The 19,971-nt window shown below is 41.0% G+C and overlaps 1 protein-coding gene across 36 annotated transcripts in view; it reads right to left on the bottom strand.

Moving 5' to 3' along the window:
- Positions 1–19,971, bottom strand: part of ARID1B (AT-rich interaction domain 1B) — a 434,754-nt gene that overhangs the window by 96,996 nt on the left and 317,787 nt on the right. For 31 of the 36 annotated variants that reach the window (NM_001371656.1, XM_011535984.3, XM_017011105.3 and 28 more), the window contains one exon: positions 3,223–3,312. The exons of the other annotated variants lie outside the window; for them this stretch is intronic. In NM_001371656.1, coding sequence (NP_001358585.1) covers positions 3,223–3,312 — 90 coding nt within the window. The remainder of the gene's footprint in view (positions 1–3,222; positions 3,313–19,971) is intronic. 36 annotated transcript variants of the gene reach the window in all.

The following is a 19,971-nucleotide window of genomic DNA, read 5'->3' as shown; positions in this document are numbered from 1 at the left end:
CTTTTCAGGGTGTTGCCTAACCAACACACACACACAAAAGGGAATGTACAGTGATATAGCTTGGCTTTGTGTCCCCACCCAAATCTCATGTTGAACTGTGTCCCCACCCAAATGTTGGAGGTGGGGCCTGGTGGGAGGTTATTGGATCATGGGGGTGGTTTCTAGCGGTTTAGCACCGTCCCCCTAGTGCTACCTCATGAGAACTCACGAGATATGGTTGTTTAAAAGTTTGTAGCACCTCCCCTTTCGCTCTCTTCCTCTTGCTCCTGCCATGTAAGATGTGCTAAATTTGCCTTCACCTTCCATCATGACTGGAAGTTTCCAGAGGCCTCCCCAGCCATGCCTGCTGCACAGCCTGCAGGACTATGAGTCAGTTAAATCTCTTTTCTTCATAAATGATCCAGTCTCCAGTAGTTCTTTATAGCAGTGTGAAAACAAACTATAACAATATAATAATGTCTCTCACAGTCTTTCAGAGGAGGTTTAGAGATCACATTCATAAAAATCAATTCACATTTAGCAACTTATATAATTTATATTTACTATTTGAAAGAAATGGTCATGGCCGGGTGCGGTGGCTCATGCCTGTAATCCCAGCACTTTGAGAGGCCTAGGCAGGTACATCACCTGAGGTCGGGAGTTGGAGACCAGCCTGACCAACATGGAGAAATCTCATCTCTACCAAAAACACAAAATTAGCCGGGCATGGTGGCACATGCCTGTAATCTCAGCTACTTGGGAGGCTGAGGCAGAAGAATCGCTTGAACCCAGGAGGCAGAGGTTGCAGTGAGCTGAGATCGTGCCATTGCACTCCAGCCTGGGCAACAAGAGTGAAACTCCATCTCCAAAAAAAAAAAAAAAGAAGTGGTCATTATAACCACCCAGCTTGTTATGTACCTGGTATCAGTTACCCAAACTACACTACATATAATAAAGGCAATCGAAGGAAAAACAATAATCATATTAACATGGTAATTTCCATACAGTGGTACCACTAAAGAGCCTAGATTTTGCCTTGAAAGTGGATCAATTTAAGTTAAAAGTTTGATTTAGCTAAGTTTCCTAATTGTTGTCCTGTTCTTCACATCTGGTTTTCTACATTGCCCAATTTCCCAAACACGTATCTGTTGGAAAGGGCTGGGAAAGACATTGTTCAAGGATCTGAGAGGGTTTCTCTTTGTTTTCTTCTTAGTAATAAAGGTTAAAATTTTAAGACTTTCAAATAAGGGAACTTTTACCCTTTAACACTTGTTAAAATAAAAAGAACTGTACCAGTGAGAGTGATGTTACAGGGTTATGGGGTGAATCTTCATCTCAGTTCTCTGCCTGACCCGAGTAGGCACCCAGTGCAAGACAATTTCCTTTTTCCCCACAGTGACCCAACAATACAACACAGGTGCAACTCACAACCAAAAAAGGATTTTAGTAAGAATCACGCTTGCTTGGCACCAGTACACTATAAACTTCTATAATGCCTTCAAGATGACCAGAGCCATATGAGGAGTTAACACAGATCAAGCAATTTAGAGAGATGATATGGGATAAAAGGATGATTTGGAGCAGGTCACAGTAGAGAATTTAGGGAAACAAATCCACATATTCACACAATTATTAAAATCTATTTTTATTTTTTTGAGACAGGGTCTCACTCTCTGTTGCTCAGGGTGGAGTGCAGTGGTGTGATCACAGCTCATTGCAACCTCGACCTCCATGGGCTCAGGTGATTCTCCCACCTCAAAAACCTATTATTGTACTATTAGAAGGCAGTGGTTCTCAAGGTATGGTCCTCAAACCACTGGCATCAGCAGTATCTGAGAACTTGCCAAAAATGGAGGTTTAAAACGTCCCAATTCAAACCTTCTGAATTGGAAACTTGGGGGTGGGGCCCAGGAATCTCTTTTAACAAGTCCTCCAGGTGATTCTCACACACTGTGAAGTTTAAAAACCATGAACTATTCCATTATTAAAACATTATATTATCGACTATACCTTAAATTATAATATATATATGTAATGGTATTAGAAAATGAAAAATTCATTTTATCCCTCTGAAACATTCAACACAAATGATATGTAGAGAAAGCAAATCTATCTTTTCATTGACATTAGTTTCTAAACATGTTGCTGAGTTTGTAACATGTAAAATAACTTAAACCTCATAATTCTAATCAGAAGCAAATCATCATCTCTACAACTCATATACAAATAATTATAAACAGTAGGGGTCAGGAGCCCAGTACATATTAGCTGCCAAGGTAGGAACTTCTGGCCTCTGGGCCTGTGTGAGAGAGGAGGGGAGTGCAGGACAGCGGTATCTCTCTCGTTTGTTGTGGGATGGAGCAGACAAGCCTTGCCCCACAGCAAGGGAAGTGACCTGCCACCGCACCAGGGGTGCACAGGTAGGCTTCTTGTACCTCCAGAATACACCAATCTGGATTAAAACCACCACCACCACCAAGAGTAGCTTTCCTACTCCAAGGGATAATGAAGACAGAGGTAAATATGGGTGGGCTTAAGGTCTCTGCAAGGCAGTTAAGAAATGCACGGCAGGGATGACAGGCAGGACTGAGCTAAAGGTCAAGAGCACTGGCAGATGTGGGGCCACTTCTCTCCAAAGGTTTCTGGAAAAGCCCATATTCTTTTTTTCTGGGACTGGCACTAACTAGCTCCTGAGAATAAGGGAAGTCACACCTAACCGCTACACTCCCCAGTTGCTTTAGGTGACTGGGCCATAGAAACTTTTAGGTCTGCTCCAGTTCTAAGATCTTACCATTTATTAAGACAGGGTCTTGCTCTGGGTTTAAAATCTTACTATTAAATATCAGGGAATAACCAGTATTAACACACACAACCCCCCACCGCCAACCGCCACACACACACATTGGGACTGATACCCTAGTTGAGTCATTCACAGTTATTTTTACACAGCTAGACCAAATACCAGACTACAGTCATATGTGAACCATGCTTCATGGTGCTATGTGGACACACACATTCTTTGGGCCTTGAACTGTACTTTGACCACACTTCACCCAACCTACAAGAAAGCATCCTCCCTCCTCTCCATATTTGTTGGAAGGGCTTTTATTTCTTCCGTCTGATAAGAAAACATAATATCCTTTAAAAAAATTAATGATAAGGAGGTGCATAGGTAAGCAAACTCACGTACGCCTTATCGCCTGAAAGCACTATAGGCATGTAAGACATGAACTGGAGACGAACCTCTTTCCTGTGGCATTGGTGACTGGCTCAAGGCGGGATGGGAACTGGATTCTGACTGGCTCCCGGGTGGCTGCGGAGGCATCTGACTACCTGTAAAACACAGGAGGGAAAGTGGAGATGGGGGAACCCTTTGCATTAATAATGCAGTCATGCAAAACCAAGACACAGCCACATTTAATTTTTATGATCACAAAAGGTATAGCCCCATTAAAAAAAGACATAGCTCAGAGTGTAATAGTTCATCTTTTCCCTGGGAAACAAAGAGGAAACATGAATAAACATATTTAGCTAAACACTTGCTGAAAAGTTGTTACTGAATGAGTTCCTAAACTCATATATGAATCAATCTGTAGCTGAAATTTCTTGACACACACTTCTGCAATGCATTTAAGAAAACGTAGGAGAGCTGGGCCAAACTCATCCTCCTGACTCTTACGTGAGTCTCCAGGTGGGCAGGCATGCAGAGTGGCCAACAATTACTCATGGTAATATCCAATCAGTACAGTAATATCAATAGACTTCTAAAACATCTTCATCATTAGTCAGTCAGAGATTTAACATAAACTTAGAAGACCTCCATTAAGAAACAAAAAACATACTACTATAAAATGCAGTATACATGATCACTAAAGAAGGGACTATTATTCTGCATCTCTTTTGATCTTTATTGCTAATACAGCAATAGCATCTATTTAATTTCCAGTTTTAAGTGTATGCTCAGTTTGTCTTTTCCAAATATAATGTAAACTCCTTAAGACAGGAATCTTATCTGTATTCCTTCAATCCCTCTCTGAACATAGCAAATACTTAATAAGTCATAATCTGAGAATATTATTTAAAGGAAGATACTTCTTACTATACTGATAAAAGAGAGATAATGAGTCATGTGAAGGCAGGAGATGAGATTTTGAAATTTAAAAATCATCAGAGGTAGCTGATGATCTCAACTCACTTTTTGGCTGAGAGGTTTAAATGCATTTCTAAGACTAAAAATGTAACGGAATTTAAAAAGCAGCTGAATTTAGCACAGTCCTCAAGGCACTAACTAGCTCTCGTGACATGAGGACCATGCTATTTTATCTTCTACCCTCCCTCTTTGCTTCAATAAATTGGAAACACAAATACACTCACACACACACATAAAGAACATTGCATAGTCCTCTGGGGCGGTGGTCCTGGGACCCCGGCTGGATCAGGCTAACCGCTCTGACTCCGTCAGACCCACTGCTTCATAGTCAGGCATATTGCTCAAAAGAATTACAAATAATAAAGAAAAAAATTAGTGTCCTAAAGATCATCACCAATTCGCCCCCCGTGAAGGTCAGGGCACATTCAGCACAAAGCCTGGTATTTGACGATGTACAACAACCAACCCTCTTGTGGTTCTACAAGATGGGTCTGTTACCCATGTGGCCAGGCAGGACACGGTCCCAGAATCTCTCAGGACGGTCACTCCTTACTAAGTCTAATCACGGGGTATCTGTGGCAGTCAGAGGATCAGGAATATGATTTTCAGTTTAGATAACACGTATAAATAGCTGTTAAAATATTACTATAAAACAATTGTTTTCAGGGGTTTAGGCTTTGTTTAGAGAAGAATGCAAAACTTGTTTATGTATTTCTGAGTGTTCCTGAGTGTGTAACTGCCACTCTCATTTTCAGATTAAGTGAAAACCAAAGACCTGAATTTATAGACACTGAGAAATATGCACTGTGTCACCACTAGAAGCTGCTTTTTACATTAGAACCATAACTAGTCGGGATAAAAGACCTGGACAAACAGCATAGACTTCGTTAAGTATCCATTTGGTTTCAGACATTTGTAGTAAATTAGTACTAGTACCAAATAATTAAATGTAAAGTAAAAAACACCTAACATTCTGAACCAAAACAATTTCAAGGGTAAATACTGGTCACCGACTTGGCTACAGATCTACAAAAGTTGCTGTGTGCTCACTGCAGGGTCATGTGCTTCCTATGAAATACCCTAAGGCCTCCAATCTATAGTCCATTTAGAAATTTAAAGCACTCTGCAGCCAAATACTGACTTTTTAAAATGTCACTGGGGAATCAGCTGCAGCAAGACAGTAAGTGCTTACATTATCAGGATCACTTCTGCATGACAGGCTGGATTCATAGACTCATGACAGTAAAAACAAACAGTAATTCTATGTGAACACAGGGCACCGTGGCTTAGACAGTGCACGCCCGAGGCACTGCTCTTATGCACAATATTTCAAGTAGAAATAAAAAAGGCTGTAAGTAATGCATCCCATGATTCATAAAATACCGCCACAGCCAAGCAGCACTTCTGGTTGTGTGGCACAATTCTAAGACAGATGTCTCTTTAAAGCAATGAGAATATTCACATACCAAATTCATTCTGTTAAAGATACAAGAGCTTTATCATGATACAGATCCACCCAAACCATCTTATTCATTTTCCTTTACTCCCTATCTTTCTACCATAGTTTCATAACTACTAAGTCATAGTTACTATGATTCAGTAACTACAGTAACTAAGAAACAACTTGATCTTCCACAGGCATAGTTTAAACATCGTCACAGCAGATGATGACTCAGAAAATGCATTTGAGAAAGTGATAACAGAAGACTCATTTGTGTCCTTGGCCCATGTAAAGAAGAAAATTCAGAGCCCTCCGAACCAACCGAATTCAATAAACACCTTCAAAATTACAGATTTTTATATGACATGTGTTGGTCACAAGTAAAACCTCTTAAACAAAGTGTGGTAATAATTTTTAAAGCGCATACTGCTGGGCACAGTGAACCAACCCACTTTATGAAGGCACTTTAACATTAAAATAGCTTAAAAAAATAAATAAAGAGAGCCCCCGTGTTCTTTCCTCAGCAATGTCTATTATGATGTAAGCATAATGGAAAAAAATACAACTGGAAAACACTATACTATGAATTAGAGTAAGTTCCATCATTGCACACTTCTGTATTCTCCAATGATAACACACACAGCCACGTGCACAATTTAGGTGCAGAACTGTCACCTGCATTTCTACTTTTACTGAAATAAAATTATCAGCCTAAGTCTATGCTATCATTTTCTTAAAAACGTATTTTTATTTTTAATTAATTTTAGACTTACAGAAAACTTGTAAAAATAGTGCAAGGAGTTCCCTTATATCCTTTAGCCCACCTCCTCCAATGTTAACATCTTATATAACCATAATACAATTACCGAGAAGAGAAGCTTACCTAAAGACCTCATTTGAATTACACCCATTTTTCCGCGTCATGTCTTTTTTCTGGGATCATCCCACATTTCATTTAGTGACTTTCCCTTAGCCTCCTCCAGCTGGTAGGTACTTTAGTCTTTCCTTCTATTTTGTGACCTTGACACCTTTGAACAGTACTGTTCAGTTATTTTGTAGAATGTTGCCAAATTTTATTTGCTCTGATTATATTTTTTATCCCTAAAATGAGGTTATGAATTTGGGGAAGTGTACCACAAAAATGTCATACCCTTCTCAGTACAATCTATTTTCCCATTGTAGTTGGTTAAGTATTTTTTGGAAGATATTTGAGACTATGCAAATCCTATGCCTCCTCAAACCTGCACTCACGAATTTCTGGATCCTTTAGAAGATCTTGTTTACATTTATTACAGTGGTATCGGCTAACGGTGATTCTATATTTCCCCTTTTTCTTCCACATTTAGTTACTGGAATTCCATTGTGAGAAGAGCCATCTTCTTCCTCACTTGGTTTTTTATTTATTAGACTATTTCTCTTCACTCACTGTGGCAGACACACCCTCGAGTAACCTCCAATGAGTAACACCGGTGAGTAATCCCCTCCTCTCCACTGAGCAGAACCTGTAATTCTATCCAAAGAATGTGAAGAAAGTGATGGGCTGTCACTCCTGCAACTATGTCAGATGGCAAATGTGAAAGGATTTTGCAGATATAATTAAACTCCCTAATCAGCTGACTCTGAAATAATCAAAATGGAGAGAGATGATCCTGTATGGGCCTGACATTTCAACAGGGTTCAGGCCTTCTAGGAAATAGGCTTCTCTGATGTGAACTGAGACTAAGGCAAGAACGAGAGGCCTCCAGAATCTCAGGACCTCACTCCAGCAACTGCTAGGAGATGAAGCTGCCACAATCCGAATGAAACTGGAAGTAGATTGTTCCCTAGTCGAGCCTCCAGATGAGGATGCAGGCTGCCCAACATCTTGACTGCAGCCTTGTAAGTCCTGAGCAGCTAAGAGGTGCCTGAACTCTCTGCCAGGGGAACAGAGATAATGAATGTGCCTTGTTTTAAGCTGGTAAGTTTGTGGCACACCCTTTGGGCTTTCCTTTTTTTCACGCTGTCCTGGACACACTGTCCTGGGCTCCCCAGCACCCCTTTATGTGAGTGCTCCATAGTTTACTCAACACTCTCCTGTGTATGGGCATTTAGACAGTTTCCAGTCTTTTGTGGATGTATTTTTGTATTGCTGGGGTCTATGTTCAGGGAAAATTCCCTGAAGTGGGATTGTTGGGTCTAAAGGTTACACAATTCCAAATTTCCTTCTAGAAACTTTGTACCAATTTACATTGCTACAAGCAATGTTTGAAAGGCCTGTCTCTCCATAACCTCACTAATAGAATGTATTGCTGTTTAAAAAAATTTTACCAGTCTTGGCCAGGTACGATGGTTCACCCCTGTAATCCCAGCACTTTGGGAGGCTGAGGCGGGCGGATCATGAAGTCAGGAGTTCAAGACCAGCCTGACCAACATGGTGAAACCCCGTCTCTATTAAAAATACAAAAATTAGCCAGGTATGGTGATGCGTGCCTGTAACCACAGCTACTGGGGAGGCTGAGGCAGGAGAATCGCTTGAACCCGGGAGGCGGAGGTTGCAGTGAGCCGAGATTGCACCACTGCACTCCAGCCTGGGCGACAGAGCAAGACTCCATCTCAAAAAAAATTAAAAATAAAAAATTACCAGTCTTACTGATTCTGAATGAGTTTGACTACTTTTTCAGATTTTAGGGCCATTTTAATATCTTTCCTTGTGAATTGTTTGTTCAAGTCTTTCTCCTATTTTTCTGCTTACGTTCTTAATCCTTTGCCCTGGAATTTTTAAGGGTTCTTCATATATTAGAGATATTAGCCCTTTGTCTGTGGTATATATTGTGAATATCTTCTCCTAGTTTGTCAGTTGTCTTTTAGTTTTGCTTACGGTGTCTTTTGTAGCGGAAATTTTTTTTAATGTTGTCAAATTTATCAGTCTTTATTTTTATTGCCTCTGGATTCTGAGTCACAGTTAGGAAGCTATTCTCTCTACACCAAGGTTAAAGAGGAATTCACCCTAGTTTTCTTCGAGTACATACATGTTTTTTTTCCATCTCCCTTGAGTTTATTTGATGTGAGGATGGATCTAACTTAATCTCTTTGCACGTGGCTCCCCAAGTATTCCAACACAATTTATTTAAAAATCCATTCTTAGCCCAGTGACTTGAAATATCATCTTTGTCATTTAATACATGTTCACATGTATTTGGTCTAACTCTGGACTTCCTCTTCTGTTCCACTGGCTAGCACACACTATTTTCAGTTCCAGTATTTTTATACCATGTTTTAGTGTCCAGTAAGAATAGTGCTCCTCACCTTTTCTTTTTCAGTGTTTTCTAAGTTTTCTTGCATGTTTTTCTATATGAACTTTAGTATCAACCTGTCCAACCATATAAAATAGCTCACTAATATTTTCACAGCAATTGGACTGAAATAATCAGTCAAGGAGAACTCATGACTGCTGAGTTCATCCCACCCAAGAACAAGAGACATCTTTCATTTGCTTAAGTCTTCTTTAGTTTCTTTCAGGTACCTAGAGGGTTTGTATATTTTATGTTAAGTTTATTCCTAAGCACGTAGTCTTCCTTGTTGCTACTGTAAATGGGATTCTCTTCACCATTATATGTCTTTTAACTGTTTATTGTTTGTGTATAGAAAGACTACTGCTTTTTGTATGTTAATTTTATGTCTCACTACCGCATTAAATGAATTCTTCCACTGCTAATTTGTCATTGATTCTCCGGGGTTTTCCAGGCTTACTATTATATCATCCGTAAATAGACAGTTTTATTTCTCCTACACTCATCCTTATGCCTTTAATTGAGTTCTCTTGCCTAACTACATTGGCTAATATCTGTAGTACATTACTGAACAGTAGTGAAGATAGTGATGATCCTTGCCTCATTTGTGATCTTAGTGGAAATGCCTCTAGAGCTTCCCTAGTCCATAAGTGAAACTAAAGCATATACATTTTACCATGTTGAGATTGTATCTCTCCATTGCTACTTCCTTGAGTGTTTTTATCATAACTGGGTGTTGAGTTTTGTTACAGAGAGGATTTCCCCCCACCAGATGTATGTTTATGGTATATATTAATAACAGAGTTGTTAGGCCGGGCGTGGTGGCTTACGCCTATAATCCCAGCACTTTGGGAGGCCAAGGCGGGTGGATCACGAGGTCAGGAGTTCGAGACCAGCCTGGCCAACATGGTGAAACCCTGTCTCTACTAAAAATACAAAAAATTAGCCGGGCATGGTGGCAGGTGCCTGTAATCCCAGCTACTCAGGAGGCTGAGGCGGGAGAATCACTTGAACCTGGGAAGTGGACGTTGCAGTGAGCCGAGATCACATTACTGCCCTCCAGCCTGGGCAACAGAGCAAGCCTCTGTCTCAAAAAAAAAAAAAAAAAAAAAAGTTGTTAATATTGAACCAACTTTGCATTTCTGGAATAAATGCCACTTATGATACATTATTTTCTTAATGTACTGTTGGATTCTGTTTGCTAATATTTTCTTTAGAATCTTACACTAGGAGAAGTTTTGGGAGAATTTTATCCAATTAAAAATAGCTTTTAAGAACTAAATCAAGATAAGTACCAAATTAAATATTCAAGTAACATAACTCTGGGATTTTAGTATATAACACAATTGGGAAAAAGAGGCTAATATGTGTATTTTGGTAAATTAGCACACATCCAGTAATGTATAATGTACAGTGGATGGACTGAGACATGAATATATTATAGCTCAGCATACTTCATAGAACAAGATGGTGGGGCAGTCAGTACTAACAAGTGCCACGTTCTACGATTTTTTACAACTGGACACAGTATTAACACTTTCCATAGTTCTTAATTTAATTCCGTTCATTGTCTCAACTGACTACAATGTACATTCCATACAGACAGAAAATTCAGACTGTTTGGTTCCCCGCTATATTATATCTCTTGAACCAGGCATATAGTAACCATTCAATAAGTATTTGTTGAAAAAAAAAAGTATGGCTAATGATTCCAGGAACCAAGCTCAGATTAATAGATAATTAGATCTTTGTAACTCATCTGTAATCATGTAGTTTTATCTTATTATTCTAGATGAGGATTAGACAAACTTTCTCTGTAAACTGCCAGATAGTAAACATTTTAGGTTTCACAGGCCATATGTTTTCTGTTCCAACTACTCACCTCAGCTGTTGTAGTTCAAAAGTAGCCACAGACAATATGAAAACAAAATAGCATAAATAAAACTTTATTTGCCAAAACAGGTGGTTGTCTGAATTTGGTCCTTAGGCTGTAGTTTGTGATCCCTGTTCTAAATGATAATATGAGTGAGTAAAGAAACATTCAGGAAGGCCGGGTGCAGTGGCTCACACCTGTAATCCCAGCACTTTGGGAGGCTGAGGTGGGTGGATCACGAGGTCAGGAGTTTGAGGCCAGCCTGGTCAATATGGTGAAACCCCGTCTCTACTAAAAGTACATAAAAATTAGCCAGGCGTGGTGGCGTACACCTGTAATCTCAGCCACTCAGGAGGCTGAGGCAGGAGAATCACTTGAACCCGGGAGGCAGAGATTGCGCCACTGTACTCCAGCCTGGGTGACAGAGCAAGACTCCGTCTCAAAAAAAAAAAAAAAAAAAAAAAAAAGAACCACTCAGGAGGAATACTTGCTGAAAAAGCCAATACAGATGAGTATTTAATAACAACAGCACTGACATAGAAATCTCACATTCTTCCATATTTAAAGGGGAAGGCTTCATAAATAAATGTCAGTAACAGAAGTTGCTTTATGCTCTCTCCTATCTATATGTAAGAATGCGCTGGGTTCCTTAGCACTTAATGCAGGCAAAAGTCTAAGACTTAAATGGTAAGTACATTTAGCAGGTAAATGTTTAGATAAATGATTACTTGTAGTTTTATTTTTCCAACTCTTTCGGATCAGAAACAAACCAACAAATCAGATCAACTACTGATCAGATGCAATTGCGTAAATTATACTCTACTACTTTTGTGTTGGGATGGTAGAGAATAAACATGAGGTGAATAGGATTCCCACATTAATCCTTTATTGAGGTTAAAATTCCTTGGGGATAATTCCTTTCTACATTACTACAGTATACAACTATAGAAAAAGAACAAGAACACTAACTCTGAACCACAACCAATTCTGGCAAACAAACCATTCACCCCTTTTCAAATAATACTGCATTATCTCCAGTATTAGTAATACTAATAGATATAGAAATATTCAGAAATTCCATGTTTCAAAAGTTGTAGTGGCCATAGAAAAATTATTCCTTCCTTTCACATCATTACAGCTAAAAAGCCAACTAACCTAAGATGGATTTAGTTATCTGAGATGGAATATTGACATGATTAGTCAAGATAGCAAATCTGGAGTCTGAATGACAGACACTACTTGATTTCGGTTTTAATGCCTCAGATCCATTCTATCCTTCCAATTTTCCTACGTTAGCTGACTCTGGGCAAAAGTGAAGAAAGAAGGAGCTAAAGAGAGAGCACTGTCTAGAATATACATTTATTTGTCTTACAAGTTCGCAGGTAAATTAGAGATAGCTTGAATGTACCAAATGAGGTTAAAAAAAAAAAAGAGTACTCACTATATAGAGGGCAATGTCCTAAATTATATTCTTCGATTAGTAATTCAAGAAGATTGGCTTTTTATAATTAATGTGAAAAGACATGTGAAACCATGGAAATTTGGATAATTTTCTTGGCCAATCATCCTCAATACATGGAGATCATGAGGTGTTTAGTGGCAAGTACTTGGGCCCTCTTCATAAACTCTGTGACAGTGGCAAGGGTAAGACAGACCTATTCTTAGGTCCGTGTGAATTAAACTGGTTGTGGTTCTTGTTGAATTCTGAGAAGAAATGAGGAATGCTTCCAGTCACTTTGCAAATAACTCTATCATGATCAAGTTACTCCCATGGGATGGTGCTACAAAATCAATACATAGTTCATGGTTTTCAGCAATTAGCAATTGAATTAATTCTTCTACTCATCAAGAATTCTTGGTGGTGTCATTAACTTTAGTGAGAAATTAAAAGAACACATTGTAGCAACCAAATACTGATACATTACTACTATGATCGTGTTCATCTTGTGCTTCCCACTGACTGTGCAATTCTGCTGCTGCATCCAAAATTAAAACACTGGGTTGCTTTATTCTAGTACAGCCTCATGGAAATCGGCTCTCTTTCAAATCTTTAAAGTAGAATACGGGTCTCACCTGCCACCATCTGACTTTACCGATCTTCTGGAGGATGCATTTCTTATATTCTGCCAAACCCACTAGTAATTACACTATAACTTCTTACTATGGGTTGTATTTAGTTGCTCCTTTAATTTCTGCAACATGAAGAACTGGTCAGGATCTTTCCTTCCACCATGATAAATGACAATATAATTTTGTTAAGAGACAGCATTGGTTGGTTGCATGGTAGACTCCGCATCTGTGGAAATCACTGTACATCTTATCTCAGTTAGTAAGAAGCTAGAGTATGGTAAGATGGTACAGCTCTGCAACACAGCACAAGGATTTCATGGGTCATTTCTTTAAAAACCTGCATAATACCTAATGGTGTAAATGAAAAATACATTTTTGATAATCCATACATTCAACAAATGTCCTAGTCTCAGGCATTTATTTAGATGAGTTAGAAAACCCACAAGTTATTTAGACATAGCATCCTTCTGTTCAGTGTTTTCTATTTCACTTGCTTCAAGAACGGAAAAAAATCCCACTTATTCTCAGAATGAAGAAGCAGGCTGGCTGACACCAACTTCGATATGCTCCAAGCAAACTACTGAAATACAGAATCTGCTCAGGCTTCCGCTTAGTGGTTCCGGTTAACAGTTTATCTGAAGTGCGTGGGTGTGAACTTATAACACTTCCTATTGTTCAGCATGGGGTGTGTGTGCCTCTGTCTCTAATAAGATCACCTCACCCTTTACCAAAAGGTCCTGTATCAGGGCAGAGGGGTGGGGAAGATGTTGGTGAACAGGCTGTCAACACAATTCTTTATTGTGAATAAATCCTATCTCAGATTAGAGCAGTATAAACCAGAAAGTAATGTTCTTCCCTACCTTTCAACTGAGAACACAGAACCACAGCAATTTGGTGTCCTCACCTTGAAGGAGTTAAGCCCCTGCTTTGAGAGATAAACCTTTTCATGTCATACAGCTCGAAAGTTCATTCAAAACGGGGCTAGACTTTCCTAAATCCTTATCCAAAATATTACAGACTATTCATGTGTCATTAGGTCCTAAAAATACAGATAAATGGGCACTTCAGAGGCTATCTGACTTGGATACTCCCGAGCCATGAAGGGAATAAGGATACTTCCAATTCCCGAACTTGAGAGAACAAGACAGCTCCCACGCACCGTTCACAGGGCCATATACCTTTATTCTAAACAAACTAATACACTGTCAAAAACCTGCCGGATTAAGCTTTTCAACTCTCCTCCCTACTGTGGTCTGAGTGTTCCAAGTCTTTTTCTAAACCTCACTCCTAGGCTTGAAGATAGATTAGCTATAAAGGACGATCAGCCAACAGGTAGAAAACAGAAGTGAGTATGATGTGGTCTATGTGAATTATGTCCTCATAAAAGCCCTTAAAGACCAACTTATAAAACGTTACTCACCCAGCCTGCTATCATAGATTCAAACCAGAACTTTTCTTTTATTAATTAAACATACTAAAACTACACAATGTTTTTCGCATGGGTCCTCCTCATAACTCTGTGACAGGTGCGAGGGTAAGACAGACCCTTGCAAGTTGGTTTAATAGTCTGATCACTAATACCCATGAGATCCCTTTTGGGGAGATACCTTCCCACAGAGAACTTGGGGCAAAGAAACTGAAAAGTCTCTGGCAAGGCAAAGGACAAGTTAAGTCAGAGGATACATGGTGATGCACGGACTTCTAGACTTAACTATTTAAGTCAGCACAGCTTTGATTAAAGATAAACTGGAGTTGGCCCAGCGCAATGGCTCACGCTTGTAATCCCAGCACTTCAGGAAGCCAAGGCAGGCAGATTGCTTGAGGTCAGGAGTTCGAGACTAGCCTGGCCAACATGATAAAACCCTGTCTCTACAAAAATGCGTGGTGGTGGGCACCTGTAATCCCTGCTACTTGGGAGGCTGAGTCAGGAGAATTGCTTAAACCTGAGAGGCGGAAGCTGCAGCGATCTGAGATCATGCCACTGCGCCCCAGCCTGGGTGACAGAGCGAGACTCCGTCTCAAAAAAAATAAAAAAAATAAACTGGAGTCATAAAACATTTACATACAGAGGATTCTCCGCATTAAAATGAGACATTTTTAGTCTGGATGACTGCTAAGTGGCCTGAAAGGTGTGGGAATATAATGTGCTTTGGGTTTGACTGAGGCACAACTCTCAGGGTGGCGGCTGGCACAGCTCAGCCTGGGTCCCACTGCACTTGCCACTCCACTCAGGACCGACTCTGGGGAGGTGAATAAAAACTGTGTCTTTGTGGATAAAACAGCCATTAAATAAAAGATGGAACTTTAAGGAAAGCTTCTCAACTTTAGTTAACTTCAGATGTGAAGACATGAATAGTAAATAGGCAGTATGACCAAAAATGTGATTTGGTTGAAAGCAGGAACCACTTCTAACTTTGGGAATCTTGAGGATCTGCGAGGCATCCCCTGTGAAAGTCCATGATGTCCTGAAGTACATCAACTACCATGCTGAAAATCTGGCATTCTCATCAAAACACACCCTTTGCAATAGCTTTAAAGCTCAGGCATACAATTCCAAGGTCTACTGGGCCACGTGAAAACCCACTTGTGGAGGGAAAGGTCTATTCTCCACATTTGGGTATGGCATCGCTAGCCCGGCCTTCCCCCAGGAAGTCCGGATTCATAGCACTCTGCTATCTGTAAGAAAAGAGGTAGGTTCTGAACTTTCCTCAGGCAGAACACCAGACATAAAATGCTGAACAGCCACCAGCTCCATTCTCTCGAATCCTCGCTTTGATGTAAGGTAAGAGGCGGCGGGGAGAACACCAAATAGAGGGATGGTTTATATTTCTCTCACCAGGGCAAATTAATAAAAACAAAACCTAATTTTTCCCTTCTCTCACCCATTCTTATTCCTCCTCAATATTTTTCCTCTTTCTAAGATTCCTTTTTTGTTTGAGAAGCTTAATATTTGGCTGCCTCTGAAGAAATGGGTATAGTGACAGATGAAAGACTTGTATTCATCGTCTAATTCAGAATAAGGGGAAAAATCGACTGCTGTGCATTTTAGATTCTAACAACCTTGCAATTTTGTATAGTCGTTTCCCCCACCCGTTCTTTTGAAGAAATCTGCTTTTATTCTGCTAATAACTAACCACAGTTGCAGCAGCATGGATCCGATTAGCAGTTCTTATGACACAAAGGGGAGAAGAAAAAAAGCTGTGAACAGGGTTGCCAATTTGTCCACCTGGGCCCCCAGGAGAAAGATTAGCTGAGGCGCCTGCCTGCTCCCTTTCTTCCACTTGATCGCTGCTCTGTGCTGCCGGATAGAGACAGGCCTTTTTAAAGCCAAGGCACTTTCCTTTAATCAAAGTTTCACTCGCCTCCACCCTCTCTTGTCACAAATTTCTCATTCTGGGTTCCAACGCTTCGTGACAACTCTGCCTGTAAACATGGGTGGTTGGCTATGAGAAGTGCCACATGCGGATGCTCACTCCCTTGGAGTCATTTTGCACCTAAAAGAGAATATAGCACGTGAGCGCTTGCTGTGCCCTGTAGGTACGAGGGACCGTGTTTTCCAGACCAAAAGGTGGCACACGTGGTCAATCAATGGGCATCTTTATGCTGCGTCTGGATGTCAGAAGAGGGAGGGAAAAATACAGGGTTTGGGAATTAAATATTGGAATTTGAGGGAAATAACACAGAATGTATAAAGTTGAGACCAACAGATAAAACACTGGTACTATAGGTGGCATGGTTTCTATAAATTCTCCATTTAGATATAGAATTAAGTGTCAATTTATGTACTAAAATAATATGCTTTTTCTTACAGAGTTTAAAATTTCATTGCATTTGTGATTATACTAACTAATGACAGCTTGTTTTCATGATAAAACTTAAGATTTTTAAACCCTTGGCATAAAACTCATACTTTTAAAAGTAAAGAACGAGACAGCTAAAACCACTTACTATTCTGAAAAACTTAAAAAACAAACAAACAAAAAACCCCAGGCTCCTGAGTGAAATCTCCAGGATCTAAGGGGGATAAATCAACACTTCACAATGTATATTTGAAGGAAACCAGCACCTGCTTACCTTGCTTCACTATCACAATTCACACCATGACATATTAATACATTTGGGTGTTTAAATAAGTGCTTTTTCAAGAGATATAGAGTTGCACAATGAAACCCGGATTAATCAATAACCAGACTCCTTTTTAACAGTGCTGGGCTTGTGAGGTTGCTGGGGGGAGAGCAGACCTCTCCAGCACGAGGCTAGAACTGGGAGGTCCAGGCGGGTGGCAGTGGGCACCCTCAGGGACCCCGCAGCTCAGGAGTAAACTCTGCCAGAGGCAGTGCCAGCCTGGGCACGGCTAAGCTCTCCATGCTGAGTGCCAGGGGACAAGGAGGGCTGTGCAGGCCACAGAGCCTCTGACTGTGGCAATGTGGAGAGGAAGGTTCTCGAGCACGACCTCAAGTACTCTCCATTACTTCTTTCAGATTGGACTAAATATTCGGCAAGCACACTTGTGAAAGGTATCTGTCACAGTGGAGTCGCTTTCAGGAGGGAGGGGAAAAGAATGATCCCATGGAGGGTGAAATGCAAAGGCAGAAAGATGGCTCCAAGCCCACAGGAGAAAGGTTATAAGTCACCAATTTCAGAACTCTCTCCTTTTGAATTCCCATTTTTCTAAGAGAACTGTGAGTTCTTTAATTTGGCCCATGTTTACTGAATAGCGCTACTTGCCAGGCACTGTTCTTGGCACTGGGGACAAAAAGAAGAAAGAGGCTCTCAGCCCGCCAGGGGCTCAGGCAGCTGGGGCAGCCCTGAGGGAGAGCTGAACTCCGGGGCTGCAGGGGTCAGCAAGGACTTCGTGAAGGGAAAGATCCTTTAGCGGGGTCTTGAAGGGTAAGGAGGAGTTTGCTGGGCTGCATGAAGAGTGGGATGGATGTTCCAGGCAGAAAGGATAAATCACATTATTCTTTAATGCAGCTCTAGGGACAAAGATCTGACGCAAAGTCATGGTCAGTGGTATAGAGACAGGGAATTCTCAACTAGTTCCTCCGTCGGCTTCTAAGAAAAGGCACTGAGGCCACATGAAAAACGAACAAGCAGCAAAAATATATCCACTGAGGCTCGCTTCTCTTAAAATGTGATACTTTTTTTTGCCTTTTTTCAAGTAGAATTAAAATAACATGATTCTTGGATTTCATGTGAAATGAACTTCAGGTAACAATTGTGGAAATGAGGAAGTCTGCTGCTAACTGAACTGGACTTGAGAATACAACAGTATTTTTGCACAAGAATTTTTTCTGTGACATTACTTTCAACTGAACCAAATCTAGTTCTAGAAAGATCAGGGGAAAAAACCTCAGCACTATGCCGCCCTTAACACATGAGCTAATCATCCCTCAACTTTCCTGTGAGAAATGTATGTGCTCCTAACTGGGAAGACAGGCCTCCTTCTCAGGCACGCCCATGGAGCACTGGGGAAGTGCTAAGTTGTCTTGGACACGGGTGCTCTCTTCCATATTCTAGAAACATTTCTTCTTGCATTTCTTTTTCACAGTCTCTACCTTTTTGGGTACCCCAGGGTTTCCTCAGAATTCTTCTCTCAGTGATTCTCAGCCTTGGCTGTGCATAATAACCACCTGGAGAGCTTTAAGAAAGTACTGACGGAATACCCCGTGTCAGACCGATTAGCTCAGCATCTCCAGGGCTGGGCCAGCACCGGTCCTTTCCCAGGCATGTTGTGTGGCGAGTGCTGAGGAGCACTGACCTTCACTCACTCCCTAGGCCAGTACTTCCCAGACCAGCAGCTTCAGCAGAACTAGAAATTATTGGAAATGCAAACTCTCGGGCTCCACCCCACAACTACTGAATCACAAGCCCTCCAAGTGATGCTGAGGCAGGCTGGGTGCCCAGGGGACCTCATCCTGAACCCTAAAGCCTCACACACTCATTTTTCCCACCAAAATACTGCCTGAGTCCAGATCTTATCCAACCTCCTATTCAAAACCTCCCTTAGGATGCCCAGTAGGAACCTCAAATACAGTATGTTTAAAACCAAACTCTCGATTCCCCTTCAAAAACGTGTTCCTCTGTCTTCTGTACAGAACCATCATTTACCAATTCCTTCGGCCAAACTCCTTCTGCCACTACTCCCGCTATGTGCACATCCAAGCGGCCATCAACACTCCGCGTGGTTACTGCAGGAGCCTCCGATGTCTCTGCTCCCACCTTCCCCTACAGTATACTGTCCACTTAGCAGCCACAGTGAGCCTCCTAAAACCTAAACAGGATTATGCTATTTCCTGCCTTCCCAACCTTCCAGAGGGATCACATCACACTTAAACTCCTAAATCGGCCAGGCGCGGTGGCTCACGCCTGTAATCCTAGCACTTTGGGAGGCCAACATGGGCAGATTTCGAGAGGTCAGGAGTTCGAGACCAGCCTGGCCAACATGGCGAAACCCCATCTCTACTAAAAATATAAAAATTAGCCAAGCGTGGTGACATGTGCCTATAGTCCCAGCTACTCGGGAGGCTGAGGTAGGAGAATTGCTTGAACCTGGGAGGTAGAGGTTGTAGTGAGTGGAGATCGTGCCACTGTACTCTAGCCTGGAAGACAGAGTGAGACTCCTTCTCAAAAAGAAGTAATAAAAAAACCTCCTAAATCATAATCATAACCTACAAAGTCGTTAGCTCCTCTCTCACCTAACTGCCCACACATTCTGCTCCATTGCCCGTGACCACTATGCTGTGGCTACACTGATTTCCTGGTGTTCGCCGCCCAACACACTAAGCACAATACTAACTCAGGGCCTTTGAGTTTGCTCCGTTCTCTGCCTGGATCTCCTTTCCCAGATGCTCACATGGCTTGCCCCTGCCCTTCTTTCACTTCTCTTGTTCAAATATCAGCTTCTAAGAGAGACACCTGCCCTAACTAGCCACTGCTATCTAAAGAAGTAACCTGATTTTTTTCCTTGACTACCTGACAATAAAGTATGTAGTTATTTATGTATTTCCTGTCTTTCCCACTAGACTTTAAGTTTCACGAGGACAGGACCCTTTGCAGTTTATGTTCAGCGCCTTTACCCCACTTACTACGCCTGCAGCATAATACACACTCAGTGCTTTGCTGAATTAATGACAGAATAGAATGATAAAATAAGGCAGGAAGGAAACGGAACAATTAGGATAGTTGG

This window comes from Homo sapiens, chromosome 6, assembly GCF_000001405.40.
Source record: "Homo sapiens chromosome 6, GRCh38.p14 Primary Assembly".
NCBI lineage: Eukaryota > Metazoa > Chordata > Mammalia > Primates > Hominidae > Homo > Homo sapiens.
The sequence above is the reverse complement of the archived record's forward strand: the minus strand, read 5'-3'. Positions and strand labels throughout refer to the sequence as shown.